Source organism: Homo sapiens, chromosome 15 (assembly GCF_000001405.40).
Source record: "Homo sapiens chromosome 15, GRCh38.p14 Primary Assembly".
Lineage (NCBI taxonomy): Eukaryota > Metazoa > Chordata > Mammalia > Primates > Hominidae > Homo > Homo sapiens.
Window position 1 is genome coordinate 71,726,023 of NC_000015.10, and position 20,702 is coordinate 71,746,724.

A 20,702-nucleotide genomic window follows, 5' to 3' on the forward strand; every position below is an offset into this window, starting at 1 on the left:
GCCCGCCTCAGCCTCCCAAAGTGCTGGGACTGCAAGCATGAGCCACCGTGCCCAGCCGCACCACTTTTGAAGAAGTGTGATTCTTCATAGAGAATAGCCCCAAATCTGTTCTTCCTCAGTTTCCACCCTTGACCCTTTTTTGCTACTCAGTAAGCTGAATTGATCTTGTAATTCAGTAGTGAAAGGTCTGCAGCTTTGCCCTCCCTGCAGCCATGGCACCAGCCAGCCCAGTGTGGAGTCTGCAGGGGGAGCCCAGCTGGAGTTTGGGCCACTCCAGCCCCTCTGTGCAGTTTCTGATTCTACAGGCCAGAGCTCTGGGAAGGCCCATTGTAGGAACGCGGCTGAAAAAATGAGTTTAAGAAAAAGTTCTTATATTTTAGTGGTACCTACTGAAAAGTTGAAGGATACATATTTGCAATGTGACACAAGAGAAGCCATGAGCTGATCCTTGTTGAAGCTGAGCAATGGGTACATGGGGGTTTATTATATTGTTCACACCACTTTTGCATATGTATACATTTTTCCATAACAAATTATAAAAAGTTAAATTTAGGAATTCTATAAACCGAAGGTGCAAAGAGCCAGTGGCCATCACAGGTCCACTATGTACATAGCACTTAAAACAGGACCTTCGGCTGGGCGCAGTGGCTCACGCCTGTAATCCCAGCACTTTGGGAGGCTGAGGCAGGCGGATCATCTGAGGTCAGGAGTTCAAGACCAGCCTGACCAACATGGTGAAACCCCGTCTCTACTAAAATACAAAAATTAGCAGAGCATGGTGGTGAATGCCTGTAATCTTAGCTACTCAGGAGGCTGAGGCAGGAGAATTGCTTGAACCCAGGGGGCAGAGGTTGCAGTGAGACGAGATCGCACCATTGCACTCCGGCCTGGGCAACAAGAACGAAACGCCATCTCAAAAAAAAAAAAAAGGTACCTTCTCTAAACCAGTCCTCCTTTGGATTGTGGGTTTCCAGGTGCCAAGGGTAGCTGAAGAAATTCTATTTCCAGATGCCACCCTTTCTTCTCCTGTTAACTCCAACACCTTGTTCCTTGCCCCCTTCTCCTTTCGTACCCGCCTCCTGAGTACACACTAGAAATCACAGGTCTGACCCCTATGGGCCTCATGAACTTGAACAAGTTCCCTCCCATCTCTGAGCCACTCTGAAAAATGGGGATTATAACATCTGCTGTGCAATGTTGTGACGATTAAATTTGACAGTGCACGTGCGGTATCTAACACAGCCCACAGCCTCAGATGCCCAGGAACTCAGGAAGGTCATAGAAGTGAATGAAGCTGACCAGGTACATGAGAAAATCATGTGACCCTCTTAGCTTTAGCTTTGCCACTTGTAGTAGACATGTAAGTAGAGAGAATTATAAGAAAAATTCTGGGCCAGGTGCAGTGACTAACACCTGTAATCCCAGCACTTTGGGAGGCTGAGGCAGGCAGATCGCTTGAGCTCAGGAGTTTGAGACCAGCCTGGGCAACATGGCAAAACCCCATCTCTTAAAAAAAAAAAAAAAAAAAAAAATATATATATATATATATATATATATATATATATACACACACACACACACACACACACACACACACACAAGCCAGGCATGGTGGTACATGCCTATAGTCCCAGCTACTCAGGAGGCTGAAGCAGGAGGATTCCTTGAGCCCAGGAGGTTGAGGCTGCACTGAGCCAGGATCACACCACTGCACTCCAGCCTGGGCGATGGAGCAAGACCCTGTCTCAAAAAAAAAAGGGGAGGGCTGGGAGGGGAGAAAAAATTGGATAAGAAAAAGAACAATGCAAGTATGATAAATGATATAAATCACCCATATTCATAAATAAAGGGGTAATAAACTGAGACTTAACCTCAGTGTTGGGGGGCAACAGGGAGGGGTGGGGACTGGGGCAAATCAGAGCATATAGGGTCCATCTGAGAGGGACAGCCATCCTGGGCTCCAGCCGATTGCTGCCATGAGGGAGTGTGAAGCCAATGTTAACATGTCTTCCTGGTTTATAAGAGAAGCCAGAACTCTTAAATTTTTTATGTGAAATATTTCAATTCTTAAATTTGGGCTCAGTTATTTTTTTTAATAACACTACAGAAGCCAAACTAAACCCATTTATGGGCCAAAATCAGCTCGTGGGCTGCCAGCGTGCAACCTCTCACCTAGATAATGGTATATAATATAAATACGTTTCCCTTCCCCCCTTTTTTCTCTTCCTCCTCTTTCTCCTTTCCCTCCCATTTTCCACATCCTTTTCACCTAACCAGCCCCCACCCTACATTTCTATACTAAGTCCAAGTGATAGAAGGGATTAGGGTGGGTTGAAGCAGTGATTAAGCCCAAGGGGATGTAATCTAGATGCCTAATGGCGCCCCAGGGCCTGGATCATTGCCTGGCACATAGTGGATCCTGTCAAAAACCTTGATGAATGAAGAAGCCAGAAACTGGGGGAGTCAGTTCTGTTTCTTGTGCACACCCTGGGCTTACCCAAAGAACTGTCTGATTTTTCTCAACAGCCCTGAGAAGTCGTTCTGGACGCTCCATCATCAATGGGAACTGGGCAATTGATCGACCAGGAAAATACGAGGGCGGAGGGACCATGTTCACCTACAAGCGTCCAAATGAGATTTCGAGCACTGCCGGAGAGTCCTTTTTGGCGGAAGGTCCCACCAACGAGATCTTGGATGTCTACGTGAGTTTGGATGTTTCTGGACTGTTCTTTGGATTTTGAATCTTGTCACTTCTAAGGAACATACTCTGAACAAATAAGCAACAAATCATTGCCCATACTCAATAAAAACCCTTTGAGCAGAGCCTGTTGGAGGCACTCCTTGAATGCTTGGCGTTCATCTTTGCCTTTACTTCTGAATGGGCCCAGCTCACAGCAACCTCCAACTCCACCAGATGCTTATTACCTTCGGAGTTTATTGACCCAGTAAAACCAATTTTACTTGTTGAACCAAATCAGAGGCAAAACATGCCCTTTATTTCATGAGCATTGGATCTCCTCCAGGCACTTTCCTTATACTGCTAATTTGGCATGTTTTCTTTTTATGGCAAAAGAAAGCAAGAGCCTAAAGGAAGGCAGGACCGCTCCCAGCTCCCAGCCCTGTTCAGACTCTGAGAGCAAATGAAGAAAGGAGAGCTCCAGAGCCCTCCAGATGAAACAATAAAGCTGAGAGTCACAGTAGAGAGATTTACTAGAAGCTCCCTGCTTCATAGAAGACAAAACCTTAATTTCTTTTACGTGAAACTAAGATATTAAATTGCTCAAGAGTTTTAAATGGTCCTTACGTTCAAAGGAAACCACTAGAATTCAATCTTCTTAAAAGACCAGGAAATAAAGGGTGATAAGACATAAAAGCTTGAAATAACATTTTGATAAAAAGATTGAGATCACCCATGAATATACACATTATTTCTGTCCCCAAAGCTGAGCTGATTAACATATTTGCTGTGTCAGAGTTTTAGAAATATTATTAATTGCATTGTCATTACTTCTCCACCTACACACAGTTCTATGTCCTTTCCTCTTGGGCCTAGTAGACTCGAAATTACAAAGGAAGCCTTGTTGTAGTTTATTTTGGATTTTTTTTTTAGACTGTCCAGTTGGTTGGTTGAATCTGAATATATTTTAAATGGCATCAGAGGTAAAAACTCAGGTTGTTAAAGGCCTACTGTGGGTGGTCTAGGAATGGAAGCCAACAGCAATTTCATAAACGGGACAAGGTTTTGCACTGGCAGAATGCTCAGGCAGAAGAGGCACCAGAGAGGGAGGGAGGATTTCCAGCCACAGACCGAGAGGAAGATTGTGTGAAAAGGGAGTGAGGGGATGAGGGATACACAGCAGGAACCTGAGGTCACACAACCGTGTCCCTTGGGGATTCAGTGCCCACCACGTTTCTGCAACGCCGATGGTTTGATATTGGTTCCTGGGTAGGAGAATCCCAGGGGTTCTCAGGTCTGCCTTCCTTTGGGTAATTTATAAAATGAAGACCCATTTCATCAGTAGGGAGTGGCAAGAGATCATGGCATAAACAGGAAGAATAGACACAGGACCCACCATGCAGGAGTGACTCAGAGATGCTTCTAGCTGGAAAGGACCTTTGAAAGTGACATGATTCTAACCTCTTCCTTCCCCAAGGAAGAAATCAAAAACTGCAGGGTGAAGGGGCTTGCTCTAGGTTACACAGCTGGTCAATAGGAGAGCTGCTTTATAAAGCAGCAGAGACAGAAACATCAAACCCGACCGTGTCTCCTTGCACGGCTCATATTTACACTGTGGATTCTCATTCTGCTGCTGGGTTTAGCCCACCACCCTGCTCCCCATCAGGAAATCCATGGGCAGCAAAGACTGTGTGCTCTAAATCCAATAGGGAGGGACGTATTCTGTTGGGCCATGCTCATTTAATATGTTTTCAGCCCAGACAATGTTCAGCTGCTGACTTCCACAGTCCTACGTAGATTCCTGCTTGCCATCCTATTTTTGTCATCATTCCTAAGAGAATATGACCCAGCAAGAGTTGGGTCGCTTCTACTTGTTTTCCTGGCCCCATGTCTTTGTGTTTCTGGGGCTTTCCCTGAATAAGAGGGAGGGACCTGGGGGCCAGCCTCACCAGCCAGGTCAAGAACTTTGAGGGAACCTAAAGCATCCCGGGGTGGCTCTGTCCAGGAGGTCTGCTGCTTGTTCGCATGACTTTGTCACGCCACCTAGTGTTAAAACAGTTCTCCTGCAGTGTACACGTATTTATCTGTGTTGGATGTTTCAAGAGCACTGAGCAAAATCTAAGGACAGAAAGGTTCTGCTACCGTTGCTCCATCTTCTCCTTTGGAGTTTAGAAAATCTTGACTCTTAGCTTAGTCTTCTTCTGATTTGCTCGGCCTAAGTTCTTCATTCTTCAAAAGTAAATGACAAAAAGCCATCCAGGAATAACTTTGTTTAATCTGCCACAGGTTCACTGATATTACTGGATGCGTACTAGAGTGAACCAACCCAGTCATTTCTCAGTAGTTCTGCAAATGCCATTGAAACCCAGAAGGGGTGTGCATACGTGCCAAGTGCGGTAACACTGATTTTTGTGTCAGCAGATGATACACCAGCAGCCAAACCCAGGCGTGCACTACGAGTACGTGATCATGGGGACCAACGCCATCAGCCCCCAGGTGCCACCCCACAGGAGACCAGGTAGAATCCCTTGTCTTGTGGCCGGGGACTCTGGTCATTTCCTTGTAAAGCCTTCTCTCTCTCAATTCTTGTGCATCCACCCTCTGTCTCTCGGTCAACACAGAGAAAATTGAGGGACGCATATTTCAAAGCCAAGGGGCCTTGACATTGGAGCAGGCTTCACCATTTGTCTGAGCCTTCACTGATGAGACTGTTTCATTCACTCGATTCCAAAATGGCATGAGCATCCTGGGTCTGCCCTGCCAGTTCAACATTTGAAATGCTTTATACTAGTTTCCAGGCCAGACAAGGGGGCTCATGCCTGTAATCCTAGCACTCTGGGAGGCCGACGCAGGTGGATCGCTTGGGCCCAGAGGTTCAAGACCAGCCTGTGCAACATAATGAAACCCCTGTCTCTACAAAAAAAATTACAGAAATTAGCCAGGCATGGTGGTGTGTGCCTGCAATCCCAGCTACTCAGGAGGCTGAGGTGGGAGAATCATCTGAGCCCAAGGAGGTTGGGGCTGCAGTGAGCCGTGATCAGACCACTGAACTCCAGCCTGGACAACAGAGTGAGACCCTATCTCAAAATTAAGAAAAAACAACACAAATTTACTTTCTTAGAGCTCTGGAGGTTAGAAGTCTGAAGTGGGTTTCATTGGGACAAAATGAAGGTGTCATCAGGGCCCCTCTCTCTCCAGAGGCTCTAGGAGAGAACCCACTTCCTCGCCTTTTCCAACTTCTAGGAGCCACCTGCCTTCCTTGGTTCCTGGCCCCTTCCTCCACCTTCAAAGCCAGCAGGGTGGCACTTTCAAATCTCTCTCTGACCCTGGCCTCATCACATCTCCTCTCTGACTCTCATCTTCCTCTCTCTTTCCTTTATAAGGACCCTTCAGATTACACTGGGCCCACCCAAGTAATCCAGGATAATCTCTCCTTCTCAAAATCTGTAATTTAGTCTCACCTGCAAAGTCCATTTTTGCTATGTAAGGTAGCATGTTCACAGATTCCAGGGATTAGGATGTGGACATCTTTAGGGGGCCATTATCTGTCTACTATATGCCTTTTCTCTTGGTTCCCCTTTTGTTTCTGTTAATAATACTTTGACCTATAAGACAAGAATAATGAGTTCACACCTAACAATCCATGTTGAGTCTTCCTGGTGGGCTCTGCTTATGGACAGAGCAGGCAGCTTTCTCTCGGCTGGCACTGGGCATGGGACTGCTCTCTGAGTCTGCAGACATTTCTCTACCGGAGGATGATGGAGCCCACCACCCAAATGCAGGCAGTCTTTTCCTTCCTTAAAATAGGAAGGTCTGCAGAAGTATTCATGGTAATTATAGCTCACACACATTGAGTCCTTGCTGTGTGCAAGGGCTTAGAAACTGCTGTGCTGAGCTCTTTGCGTAGATTAGTTCTTTGAATTCTCATGACAGAGGGAGGTACTTGGAGGGAAGTACTATTATTAGCCTTATTTTAAGAGTAAGGAAATGGAAGCTTAGGAAGAGTAAGTTAATAATTGTCCTGATCTCACACCTGGGCAGTGACCTGAGGAGGGCCTGTGTGACCATACTTTGTGCTTGTTATATCACTGAGAGGTTACTTGGTCCAATCCCTACCCTAGGAGGAAATAAAGGCACAAGTGCCAAACCCGCCCCATCCATTCTTCTCTGAACTTTGGACGGGATAACCAGGTTATCTGATTGCTACAGACTGGGGAGGACAACAGCTGGGTGCATCCCCAGAACATGGGGTGGGTGTGTTGTCCAAACTCCAAGTCAGCAAACTCAGCACAACAGAGAATTTTTATGTCATGTCCAGAAGCAATCCACAGTTTGAGAAACCAAGTTTGGGTAAGATTTCTGGGGTCCATTGCTGGTTTACAGGGATAATCAGACAGACTATTTGAAATCTATCAGGATGATGATGATTTCTGTCAGGCCTGATGGGGCTCAGCTCATGAATAGCATGGGGGTTCTGGGATCAGCTCCCTGGGACAGGGCAGGCCTGGAGGGGTCACCTGTAAAAAGTTGGTAAGCAGGGGCATTGTCACCAGGCTTCCTCTTCCATGTCAATGGAGTCTGGAGGCAGAGTTGGAATCCAGCTCTGCACCTTTTTGCTGTGCACCCTCAGGCGGGTCAGCAACCTCTCTGAACACACACCCAGTCTACAAAATAGAAGAAAAACCCTATAAGGTGGTTTTTGGCAGGGGAGAGGACATGGGAAGAGATTGAATAAATTAGTTGTCCATCCTAGCATAGAGCCCAGAACAAGGCACTGAAAAGACTTCTTAAATTTTTTTGTCCAACAACATCTTGGACAGTTCTCATTTATGTCAACATGCCTGGTCCTGATTTTGTTGGTCATATTTGCATGTCATATTTTAAACCATGAAGCATAATAACCAACTAAGTAAGAAAGCCCTGGCAAAAAAGCTGAGAGGTCTGGTGCAGTGGATCACGCCTGTGATCCCAGCACGTTTGGAAGCCGAGGTGGGCAGATTGCTTGAGCCCAGGAGTTCGAGACCAGCCTGGACAAAATGGCAAAACCCCATCTCTGCTAAAAGTACAAAAAGCAGCTGGATGTGGTGGCACTCACCTGTAATCCCAGGTACTCAAGAGACTAAGACACGAGAATCACTTGAACCCAGGAGACACAGGGTGCAGTGAGCCTCCTGCACTCCAGCCTGGGTGACAGAGTGAGACTCTGTCTCCAAAAAAAAAAAAAAAAAAAAAAATTGCTGAGAAAGCCCTAATTGTTGTTGTTGTTGTTGTTGTTGTTGTTGTTGTTATTGCTGAAATGGGGTCTCGCTATGTTGCCCAGGCTGGTCTTGAACTCCTGGGCTCAAGCAATCCTCCTGCCTCAGCCTCCCAAAACGTTGGGATTACAGGCATGAGCCACCTCACCCAGCCCCCTTGTAGTTTTAACTGTGTTCTACAGTAACCCTAGAATTTGCCTCCTTATTTTCTATTAAAATGAGACATACTTGAACAATATTCAGTCAAAATAGAAATATATACAGTCAAAAGCAACTGCCACATAATTGCCAAAACTTGGAAGCAACCAAGAAGTCCTTCAGTAGGTGGATAGACAAAAACTAATGGAATATTATTTAGGGCTAGAAATAAATGAGCCATCACGTCACAAAGAGACATGGAGAAACCTTCCATGCATATTACTAAGTGAAAGAGGCCACTCTGAAAAGACTACCTATTGTTTGATTCCAACTATATGACATTCTAGAAAAGTTAAAACTATGGAGACAGTAAAAAGGTCAGTGGTTGCCAGGGGCTGGGAGGACAGAGGGATGAAAAGGTGGAACAGGGAGGATTTCAGGGCGGTGAAACTACTCTGTGTGATATTACACTGGCGGATGCATGTCACTGTGCACTTGTCCAGACCCACAGAATGTGCACCCCCAAGTGTGAACCCTCGTATGGACTATGAACTCTAAGCAATAATGACATGTCCGTGTAGGGTCATCAGTTACACATGTACCAGTCTGATGTGGGATGATGGTAGTAAGGGACCCTGTGCCTGTGTGGTGGGAGGAGGTGTGTGGGAACTCTGTACTTCTACTCACTTTTGCTGTGAACCTAAAACTGCTCTAAAAAAAAAAAAAAGCCTATTAAAAAAAAAAAAAGTCCACAGCTCCCAACCCCATGCCCTTCCCAGAGGGAGTCTAACCCTTTGGTGGGATTTTGCCTAGCCCTTTTCTATGCATACACAAACATGTTTCCAGCCATTTGAATCATCATCTACAATCTCAGATGTGCAAGGAATATTGCATATTATTATTTTCCATTAGTCAGTTTAAATCTGACCTCAACTTCACCCTTCTTTGAAACCAGTAGATAATTCAATCGCAGTCTGCTTGGGGGTTACACACACACACACACAGACACACACACACACATATTCTCACTCCAGATATAAGGAAAGATCTAGAGTCTTAGACAAGCCAAAACATTGGCTAGACCCCCCTGGTGGTCTGTCCACACTAATTCCGCTGAGGTGCCACCGGGAGCAGCCTCATGGGGCCTTCAGGTTAGGGCTCTGCTCCTTCCAGTCTGCATGGGGGGCACAGGAAGCTGGTGAGGCTGGCAGCCAGGCCCCCTCTCCCGCTGCAGGGGTGGCTTCCTCCTGGGACACTGGACATTGTCTGGTACACCTAAGGATCCATGGCACTCAGGAAACCCAAGACTCCAGACTCCTACCTCTCCTCCATCTTGAAAACCTCTCTCTCTCTTTCTCACTCTCTCTCTCTCTCTCTCTTTCTCACTAGCTCTCTGTCTTGCTCTCTGTCTGTCCCTCTCTGTCTCTCTTACCATCTCCCTCTCTTTTGCTCTCTCTTTATTGCTCTCTGTCTCTCTCGCACTCTCTGTTTCTCTCTCTCTCTCTTGCTCTCTGTCTCTCTTGCTCTCTGTTTCTCTCTCTTGCTGTCTCTCTTGCTCTCTGTCTCTCTCTCGTTCTCTGTCTCTCTCACTTTCTGTCTCTGTCTCTGTCTCTCTTGCTCTCTGTCTCTCTTGCTTTCTGTCACTGTCCCTGTCTCTCTTGCTCTCTGTCTGTCTTCTTCTCTGTCTCTGTCTCTCCTGCTCTCTTGCTTTCTGTCTCTATCTCTCTGTCTCTCTTGCTCTCTGTCTCTTTCGCTCTCTGTCTCTCCTGCTCTGTTGCTTTCTGTCTCTGTCTCTCTGTCTCTCTCTGTCTCTCTTGCTCTCTGTCTCTCTCACTTTCTGTCTCTATCTCTCTGTCTCTCTTGCTGTCTGTCTCTCTCTCTTGCTCTCTGTCTCTGTCCCTCTCTGTCTCTCTTGCTCTCTGTCTGTCTCTCTTCTCTGTCTCTCCTGCTCTCTTGCTTTCTGTCTCTATCTCTCTGTCTCTCTCTTGCTCTCTGTCTCTCTCTTGCTCTCTGTCTCTCTGTTGCTGTCTCTGTCTCTCTCTTGCTCTCTCTCCGTCTCTCTTGCTCTCTGTCTCTGTCTCTCTCACACTCTGTCTCTCTCTTGCTCTCTGTCTCTCTGTTGCTGTCTCTGTCTCTCTCTTGCTCTCTCTCCATCTCTCTTGCTCTCTGTCTCTGTCTCACACTCTGTCTCTCTCGCTCTCTGTCTCTCCTGCTCTCTGTCTGTGTCTCTCTCTTGCTCTCTATCTCTGACTCTCTGTCTTGCTCTCTTGCTCTCTGTTTCTGTCTCTCTCGCACTCTGTCTCTCTCGCTCTCTGACTGTCTCGCTCTCTTGCTGTCTTTGTCTCTCTCTTGCTCTCTGTCTCTCTTGCCCTCTCTGTCTCTCTCACTCTCTGTCTCTGTGTCTCTGTCTTGCTCTCTCTATCTGTGTCTCTGTCTCTCTTGCTCTCTGTCTCTCTCTCTCGCTGTCTCTCTTTCTTACTCTGTTTCTCTGTCTCTCTTGCTCTCTTGGTCTCTGTCTCTGTCTCTCTGTCTCTCTCTCACTTGCTCTCTCTCTCCCTTGCTCTCTGCCACTGTCTCTCTCTCCTCTCTCTCTTTCTCTCTCTCTCAAAATGTGCCCTCCTCCTCTCTCTGGGCTGGCCCCTCAGGGACATCCACTTTACCCTTAATGAAAGCCTAGGCTTTGCACTCTTGGAAGGGAAAGCTGTTGACTTCTAGCAGCTTTTGTTTTCTGTCCTGCACAAAAACAAAGCAATAACATCTAAGGACTTGGCTACTCTTTCAAACCGGAGGAGGAAGTGGAGGAATAAAGATAGTAAATCACACACAAATTAGTATCTCAAAAAGTGACCTGCCACACCTGTGTGTATGTGTGTGTGTTCTGCTTTTTTCTTTCACCAAACAATATTGTCATTTCTTCATGTCGGAACGTTATATTTGCTGCATTCTTTTCAAAACTCACATAGTATTCCATTTTGTACTTGTAGCATAACGTAGTTTAACCAGTACCACTGGTGAACATTTGTGTCTGTTTGCTATTTCAAATAATACCTCAGTAACCATACCTGTATATTCAGATTTATGTACAAGAAAATATTTGCGGAACAGATGTGATAGAAACTGAATTGCTAGGTCAAAGGGTATGTGCATTTCAAATTTGGATAAATAATGCCAGATTTCCCTCCAAAACCATGGATCTATTTGCAGGCTCATCCATAGTGACTGGAAGTGTGTTTTCCTGCACCTTCAAAAGGAGTTTAGGGATTTAAGGGTTTCCAAACTTTCCAATCTTTGGTGTTAGGTGGTGGTGTTCTTTTCATGTGTATTTATGGAATTATGAGTAAAGTTGAGGATTTTTGTATGGGTTTTGGCTGTTTGTGTTTCTTTTTATGTGAACTGTCTATGGCTCACAATTCCTGTTCCTACTGCAGTGTTCGTCTTTGTCTTATTGATTTTCAAAAGTGCTTTGCATGTGAGGGAAAGCACTAGTAGGTGTCTGCTTATTTTAAACAGATGTGCTTATGTGCTGTGACTTAGAAACGATCTCATGCTACACAGTCTCTAATGTCGAAGCAATTTCCTCTTTACAACTCAGGGTCTAAACTGATCCTGATTCTGTGTGTGCACGCTCACCTCTCCTAGGGGAACCCTTCAATGGCCAGATGGTGACAGAAGGCAGGAGCCAGGAGGAGGGAGAACAGAAAGGGAGGAACGAGGAGAAGGAAGACTTGCGTGGGGAGGCCCCTGAGATGTTCACCTCAGAATCGGCACAGACCTTCCCAGTCAGGCATCCAGACAGATTTTCTCCCCATCGACCGGACAACTTGGTGCCACCAGCACCGCAGCCCCCACGGCGCAGCCGGGATCACAACTGGAAGCAGCTTGGGACAACAGAATGTTCCACGACCTGTGGGAAAGGTGAGCCTGTGTGGGGGACGGGTGGATCCCTGCAGAACCCTAAGCAAGGAGTGTGTGGGTGGCCCAAGGCAGCGGTCCCCGGCTTTTTTGGCACCAGGGACTGGTTTCGTGGAAGACGATTTCTCCATGGATGGTGGCGGGGTTGGGGGATGGTTTCTGGGTGAAACTGCCCTATCGCAGATCATCAGGCATTAGTTAGAGTCTCATAAGGAGCATGCAACCTAGATCCCTTGCCTGCACAGTTCACAATAGGGTTCACGCTCCTATGAGAATGTAACGCCACCACTGATCTCGCCCACCCACCAGTCACCTCCTGCTGTGCGACCTGGTTCCTAACAGGCCATGGACTGGTGTCGATTGGGGGCCCCTGGCCCAAGGGAAATGGCAAACCCTCACCTCTGTGAGCCTGTCTATGAGATGGCTCATGGGTGTGACAGATTGCATTGGGGCCCTCAACACCACCCTCAGGTTTAATGATTGGCTCAAAGGGCTTACGAGACCCAGAAGAGCTGTTACAATTCATCACAGTCAAAGGATAGGGATTCGAGTTAATAAAGGAAAAGGTGTGTTGGCAAAGTCCTGGAGATGCCAGGCGCCAGCTTCCAGGTGTTGCCTCCAGCAGAGTCACACAGGGATGCACTTAATTCTCTCAGAAATGGTGTAATTCAGAGGCTGAGAACACATGCCAAGTACTGCCAACCAGAGATGCTCACCCAAGATTTGGTGTCCAGGGTTTTTACTGGGGTCTCTCGTCTAGGTATGCAGCTCCCACATGAGTGACACTAGCTACTCTCCCTTTACCATCCCAGAAGCCAAACCAATACTGCGTGGCCCAAGACCTCAGCATAAAAAAACACTCTTATCAGGTGGCATATTCCAAGGGCTTAGAGGTTCTCTCTCAGGAGCTGGTCAAGGGCCTGTCTTTGGCATGTGCAGGGTTTGAGCAACTCAGGCCTGCTGTGCACATATATTCATTAATAAACGGAATACACTCATGTACTTCAAGATCTAAAATTTAATCTCCAAGTCAGGGTTGTGGAAGACTTACACAAATCCCAGTTGAAACTCATTCTCAAATCTCAGGATTTCAGAAAAAAAAAAAAAAAACAAAACTTTGCAGGCTTGGCGTGTTAGCTGGCTTTTACACTGACCAACACTCACAGCTCCCATACTATCCCGGTAAAATCCCAACCCTGTATTCATTCATTATTCCAACCTGATCAGCTAGGACCACCAGGGACAAACCTGAAGCCCAACAAAGTCAGCTTTATTGACCCCTCACCACAAGGGAGTCCACACACCGGAGGAAGCATGGGGCGTCTCTCCAAACAAAAGAAAAGATAGAGTTGTAGGATTTGGGAGGATACAGTTTAGGTGAAATTTAAATAAAGTAGGGTTGTGATAGGCTGAAAGCAAGACATGGCAGTGTTACAGGGGTCACATCAGGATGATGAAGTGGACCCAGGGTCCCGTTTCCTTGAAAACTCCAAAGTTAAGATACATGTGGAATGTGCTGTCCAGAAACCCTTTATCTGACATTCCATACCAGATTGGAAATCAATGCTGCTTCTGTTTCAAGCTGACTCATTGCAAAGATACACCTATGAACTGTGTAGTTATAATTTCCTTCATATATATGATAATAGCCTCCTGTTTGTAGTAAAGTCCTATTTTATCCCCTGAAACAGCTCTTCTTTGAGGGGAGGTTGCTAAAGAAACAGGAAGGCTGTATCCCCCAGGAATCTCTGCAAACTGGGGAACTGTGTGATGTCCCAGAGCATTGGTTTGGGGTGGTTTTTTTTTTTTGCTTTGCTTTGCTTTGCTTTTTTTTTTTCTTTTCCTTTCTTTTCTTTTCTTTTGATACTGGTATCTAAGAGTACAAAGTTTGGAACCTCTCACAAAATTAGCACACTGAAAAATCTCATGACAGCTTCTAAAGTTTTTATCTTTTTCATAAGAGCATTGGCTTAGTGGCTTTTGAGAATAGAATTTAGGTCTTTGGTTCTTCTTGGGGGCTGGAGCTTTTCCTGCCTGGAACCTCTGCAGTTCCATAATGATTTGGTAACTGGAGTGTTGATTTATAGAGGTTTTATTGTGCAAATTTTATTATGCTTATACTTAATAAATGTGCAAAGAATCTGGACTGCAGATTCATTGGACCAACTTCTTTTATATACTTTGTGAGGAAAAATTAAATGCATATAAAATATGTCTTGACAGAGTCAGAAAGCTAGAAATATTTTTGCATTAAGGCCAAAACCATTTTGGTGAGACTCTGTGATATTATAGAGGTAAGCAGTATGTAACATAATTGATATAGGAACCCGAAATCAAAATGTATTATTATTGAAATATTCTACCTTTAGGTAATGTGTGATGCCCATCAAAGGAACCAGATACACTCAGAACTAGGTGAAAATAGGGAAAGTCATAAAAAGGATGAAAGCTGTCACTGCGTGGTTTTCAACAAAGGGTGCCATGTGGAGAAGATTCTCTTTCACCCTGTCCGGAGCCCATAGGCCTTGTGTTGTGAGCAGGATGAGATGAGGGCAAATGCATGTGCTGGTTCCCTGTGTCTCCTCCAGACGCTCCCACGGTCTCTCTAATGGAGCAAACTCATAACCAAATGTTCCAGTTTTTGCCCCCACAACCCATCCGCACGCTGTGTCATCCACACTGAGGTATGGAGTTGAAATTTAAAGAAAGCAAGGTTTTGATAGACTGAAGGCAAAACATAACTGTTACTACCTCACTATATGCTAGTATCCCTCCTTTACGACACTCTGGTATCTGGCCAGCAAAGTCCTGCTCGTACTCCAAGCTCTGAGACCACCTCTTCTGCAAAGCCTTCCTGATTCTGCAAAGAACAGGTAGGCATTTCATCCTTGGGACCTCACAGCAATTCAGGACACATTTCTGTCCCAGCCCTGCTTGGCTTGGCTGTCTCCATGAATATACACTTTGCAACTTCTGCACCAGGCATCATACCAAGCACACAGTAGGCACTCCTGTGTTTTTTGAATAAGTGACTATATCATCACCACATTTCAAATGCGGAATATATGAGCTACTAGAAAAGACATAAGGGTAGATTTTACATCTTTATTGTATCCTAGATATACAAGTCTATTACTGCCTTTTCCCATGTTCTGTCAACATAGCATAAAGAATGTGGATTTACCTGTTAGAAATTGAATAAGCGGCCGGGCATGGTGGCTCATACCTGTAATCGAAGCATTTTGGGAGGCCAAGGCAGGTGTATCACTTGAGGTCAGGAGTTCAAGAGCAGCCTGGCCAACGTGGCAAAAAACCCTGTCCTCACCAAAAATACAAAAATTATCTGGGCATGGTGATGCATGCATGTAATCCCAGCTACTCGGGAGGCTGAGGCAGGACAATTGCTTGAACCCAGGAGGCGGAGGTTGCAATGAGCCAAGATCATGCCACTGCACTCCAGCCTGGGCAACAGAGCAAGACTCCGTCTCAAAACAAAACAAAACAAAACAAAAAAACTGAACAATCTCTTTCTCTAGATTTCCATATGATTTTGTTTAATCTTCTGTCCTTTGCATTGCAGAAACACACACACAGAAATTCACAAGAGTGTGAGGTATGGGACTGAGCATGCACAGGACCCATTTTCAATATTTAGCCCATATACACCCATGTGTGCATGTACACACACACACACACACACACACACACACACACACACACACACTCGGCATCTGCCACTCAGAATGTCTGAGGCGACATGTCTAGCTCTTCTTTACCCAGTAAATGGCACCAGTTCTCAGGCCCAAGAGATACTGAAGAGGTGCCTTGGAAATAAAGCAAACCTAGGGATGTGTTGTTTCTCATCCCTCCCTTCTCTGGCAATCCTAGTTCCTTTTTCTTTCAAGTGACAAGTGGCAGCGGCCCGTGGAGGCCTCTCCTTTGCTCTGTCCCAGGCGGTGATGGCACCAGACATGCAGGGTAGGTGAGGCAATGCGGAGGCACAGATGCAGAGCACATCTAATGGTCGTCAGCAGTCATGGCAAGTGACCAGGAAATCCCAAGCCTCCCGGCATTGTCCAAGTCACTTATGCACAGAATAAGTCTGTTCCCCTTGTGATCCCATTGTGTATTTTCTCACATACCCTCGCCTAAACCCTTCTCCAGTCCTCCCTGGTGGAGCTAACCACACCACACAGTTCTGTGCTTTTCATGGTCAAATTTCCCTTTGTCTAAGTGCTTCCAGCATCATGATATCACCATCTCAGGGAAGGGCCCTGTTGCTGGCATCCAAGAGTGGTCCATACTCACACAGCCATTGATCAGGCCTCTGTCAAACTCTTGGCTTGTTTCATTTGATTCCTAGAGTTCCAAGTCTAAAGTCATTTACTTTTTTCTTGCTCTTTATTTTGTCTCTCTTCCATAATGTCCCACTGACCTCTACACTAGCCCCTGAATTCACTGACCTCATTTATTATCTGCTAATTACCTGTGTACAGTTCCCCCCTTCAACATGACATATTTCTATTTTGATCAACATGTCCGCATATAAGGCAACCGAACTGATCTCGAATAGTTTTCCTGCTGCCTGAAGCCCAGCCAGTGCCTGACCTCACCACCTTGTTCCTGCTTGCTAGCAAATAGAGGAATAATTGAATTGCAATCTTGAACAATGGGAGGTGGCCAGGTGCTGTCTCCCTTTCTAAATATATTAAAACTGACCCAAAGAAGGAAACCACTGCGGTCACTAGACTCAAGAGTTGTAGATATGGGTCAGGCGCCGTGGCTTATGCCTGTAATCCCAGTACTTTGGGAGGCCGAGGTGGGCAAATCACCTGAGGTCAGGAGTTTAAGACAAGCCTGGACAACACGGCAAAACCCCATCTCTACTAAAAATACAAAAATCAGCCAGGCGCAGTGGCAGGCACCTGTAATCCCAGCTACTTGAGAGGCTGAAGCAGGAGAATCACTTGAACCCGGGAGGTGGAGGTTGTGGTGAGCAGAGATCGTGCCACTTCACTCCAGCCTGGGTGACAGAGCTAAACTCTGTCTCAAAAAAAATAAAAAAAGATTTGTAGATCTGGCATTTTCCCACCTTCAGAGAGCCAGAGGGCCTCTGAGTTCATTTCCGTGGAGCTGGACCATGGACAATGTCCATAAACGCCGTAAAATGTCAAGGGAAGACAAGCAGTGGCCAGGTGCTGGACAACCCCAGCAGGACCCATCTTCCCAAGACACAGAGCATTCCTATGGGAGCCTGTATCCTTTTGATTAAAAAAATTTGATTTCTCCCTTATTTGAGTGCCAAGTGGTTGAGATAGTTCCTTTTGCTTTCCTATCCACAAACATCTAAGTGGAAAAGCTAAACCCGCATGGTCTGAAGGAAAAGGAATAGGCTAAATAAGATCTTTACTTAATCCCTTAATAGCCGGGTCCCACTGCAAGCTGTGAACCATGTATTCACCTTTATAACTGCACAGTGTACTTAATGTTTGTTGAATTTAATTAAAAATCTGTTCTATTTAATGGAAGGAGATCTGTAGCTGGACAAACTTTAATTCCACAAAAGTTCTTTGCATCCCATTAACTTTACAGTCAGTACTGCCTTTTACTCAGCCAATAATTGTGCTTAATTGGAACGTTATTTTAAATAATGGTCTCAAGTTATAGCCACACTGTAAATTTTTACTACCAGGGTAATTTAAACAAATGATCGTTTCAGATTCAACACTGTCTTGCAAACTGTCAAGTTTCTTACTACCCTCTGGGTCAGTGTGTCATACAAGATGAGCTTGAAAAACCACTGAAACACTTTCATGACTGATGAAATATTAAGATGTTTATGTTAAAAGATAGCCCCTATGTTGCAGTTAAAATTGTAAGGAGTTGGAACTTCAGAAAATATGAATGCCTGGCCAATTAGCAACAGAGATAAGACAGAGTTGTAGAATAAAGTATAGTGTTCTTCCCGGCAGGAGTTGTATACTGGCCTGGACTGTGGGGAAGACAGTTATTTGTGAAGAAGCATCTTCCCGTGGTTGGTTCAGGTTCAGGGGTTACATTTCTCACGTTATAAACGTCCATTAATAATAGCTCAGTGTTGCCACCAGGTGGCAGCAGAGAAAGGAAGGCAGAATTGAATCAGCTTTTTTTTTTTTTTTTTTTTTTTTAATTGACACCTAGACATTCCATTTAACAAATTCTGGCTTTTTATCGAAAATAGATGTATCCTTATTAATCCAATGAAAGTAAAACAAAAAACCTAAAACAGTTATAAACATTCATTCAACACCATTCAAACATTCATTCAACACGGTCATTTATTGAGCCCCTGCTACTCTCCTAGGTACTGGGGCTACAGAGATTAAGAAGTAGCCCTGTCCCTCAGAAGCTCACGGTCTCATGGGAAGTAGACAAATGCTCAGATCACTGAAATACCATTGGATGGGTACTTTATTAGAAGAACATGAAAGACGCTTGCCAAAGGGGGAGGCAGCTGCTCTTCCGCCCTTTCTTGAATCTTCTACTTCTGTGCTTCAACCTATCCCTTAAATGTACCTGGTGTAGCAGGCTAGTTTGTCAGGCAGGTACTTTCATTCCAGTTTAATGACCTAGACAGCCTCCTCCCTCCAAAATATACATGCACATATCTACCCAAACCCAATTCTTTCTCTAGAACGAAGCTTGGCCCATTTAGGACACTTTCTCTTTGACGCTTCCAGAGAACTTTAGAAAAGTTACTATTTGTGTTCCTTCTATAATCATTCCCCTGCCTAGGGAATCTCTCTTTTGTTATCTTGAACTATAATGAAGATGCTTTGTATCTGCCTTTGAGCATATTTAGACCGTGTCCACAAATAGATTATTGATTCCTTTTAGGGCAGGCTCTTCTTTGCACCCCCACAGTTCCTAGCAAAGACCTGTGAGGTAGGTGTGTGTAAACCCTCAAATGAAGGGGGAGCGTAAGTGTGCATGCATGTGTGAATTGTCCTCACTGTTTCTGTGCCCTCTCTTCATCAGCACCCGAATCTCTGTGCATCTCCACCCATAGCCCAGCTTTCCAGTGTGTGGGACTGTCCTTCAGACATTCTCCTGTTGTTGCAGGATCGCAGTACCCTATTTTCCGCTGTGTGCACAGAAGCACTCATGAAGAGGCTCCTGAGAGTTACTGTGACTCCAGCATGAAGCCGACCCCCGAGGAGGAGCCCTGCAACATCTTCCCTTGCCCAGCCTTGTAAGAAGGCCCCTCCATTTAGGTCGCCTATTACCGGGTCACTTCAGGTCACTTATGCACAGGACCTTAGGAACAGATATAAGTCAGTCTAAATCTGAGTTAGAAATACAAGACTTGGACCATGCATAAAATGCAGTCTGTTTAGCAGGCACACCTGTCTTTCAGGATGAACTCAGGAGCTGATAGCCTTTAGCAAGTCAACCCACTTCTGGGAAGCCCACCCTTGACAAAGCTGGAGCAATTAGGTTTGAGCCTGGTAAGGAAAACAAAGGAGGAAGCAAAAAACGAGAAGCCAGTGTAGTTGGTGTCGTAGGTGAGCTGTTCACAGAGAGAGGATAATGCAAGTCACAAAAACATCAGCCTGGAGAGGCCAAGAAAAGTGTCTCGGGAGAGGTCTTGAACTGTTTCGGTTTTTTGGTTTTGTTTTTGTTTTTATGGCAGAGTCTAGCTCTGTTGCCCAGGCCAGATTGCAGTGGCACGATCTCAGCAAACTCCGCCTCCTGGATTCAAGCAATTCTCCTGCATCAGCCTCCCGAGTAGCTGGGACTACAGGTGCACATTACCACGCCTGGCTAATTTTTGTATTTTTTGTAGGGACAGGGTTTTGCCATGTTGGCCAGGCTGGTCTTGAACTCCTGAGCACTAATGGTCTGCCCACCTCAGCCTCCCAAAGTGCTGGGATTACGGGCGTGAGCCACTGCGCCTGGCCTTGAACTGGTTATTGAATGATAAATGGGACACTTGAAGAAGAACAAGGGGAAAGGGCCCTAAAAGGGTCAAAACCTAATTTGCAGAGTAATAAAAATATAATTCTCATCCAAGTATATGGTGAGCATGGGCTGATGTCTCATTTAACTAATAACAGAGCAGATGACAGAGGAGGGTTTGCAAAACTGATACGGGAATTGTTAATGAAAAATAATGCTAGAATAAGATTCCTAAGTTAGTAGCAAAAATGAGTTAATGATCTACAGTGTAATAAAACTAACCTTTGGAGGTTTTTTTTTTAATTAGATAAAAATCATTTGTACGTTTTCAGTTTTCTATAACTTTTCATAGAATCTGGGCCCTAATCACTGGTAAATAGCATGTCAAGTGTCAGGCAAATTTATCTGCCTTTACAGAGTCAGATGACCCTTAGGCAGACTTTTTCTTTTTCTTTTTCTTTTCTTTTTTTGAGACAGGGTCCTACTCCATTGCCCAGGCTGGAGTGCAGTGGCACAATCATGGCTCACTGCAGCCTCAATCTCCCAGGCTCAAGCCATCCCCTGACCTCAGCCTCCCGAGTAGCTGGGACTACAGGCACACACCACCACACCCAGCTAACTTTGGTATTTTTTGTAGAGACGGGGTTTTGCCATGTTGCCCAGGCTGGTCTCGAACTCCTGGGCTCAAGCCATCCTCCCACCTCAGCTTCCCAAAGTGCTGGGATTACAGGCGTGCGCCACTGTGCCCAGCCTAGGCTGACTTTCAAGCAATGCTCTAGTAA

The 20,702-nt window shown here is 45.5% G+C and overlaps 1 protein-coding gene across 10 annotated transcripts in view; it reads left to right on the forward strand.

Annotated features, from left to right (window-relative positions):
• Positions 1-20,702, forward strand: part of THSD4 (thrombospondin type 1 domain containing 4) — a 686,490-nt gene that overhangs the window by 629,129 nt on the left and 36,659 nt on the right. For all 10 annotated transcript variants that reach the window (NM_001394532.1, NM_024817.3, XM_047433080.1 and 7 more), the window contains 4 exons: positions 2,527-2,702; positions 5,099-5,195; positions 11,710-11,985; positions 19,084-19,213. In NM_001394532.1, coding sequence (NP_001381461.1) covers positions 2,527-2,702; positions 5,099-5,195; positions 11,710-11,985; positions 19,084-19,213 — 679 coding nt within the window. The remainder of the gene's footprint in view (positions 1-2,526; positions 2,703-5,098; positions 5,196-11,709; positions 11,986-19,083; positions 19,214-20,702) is intronic.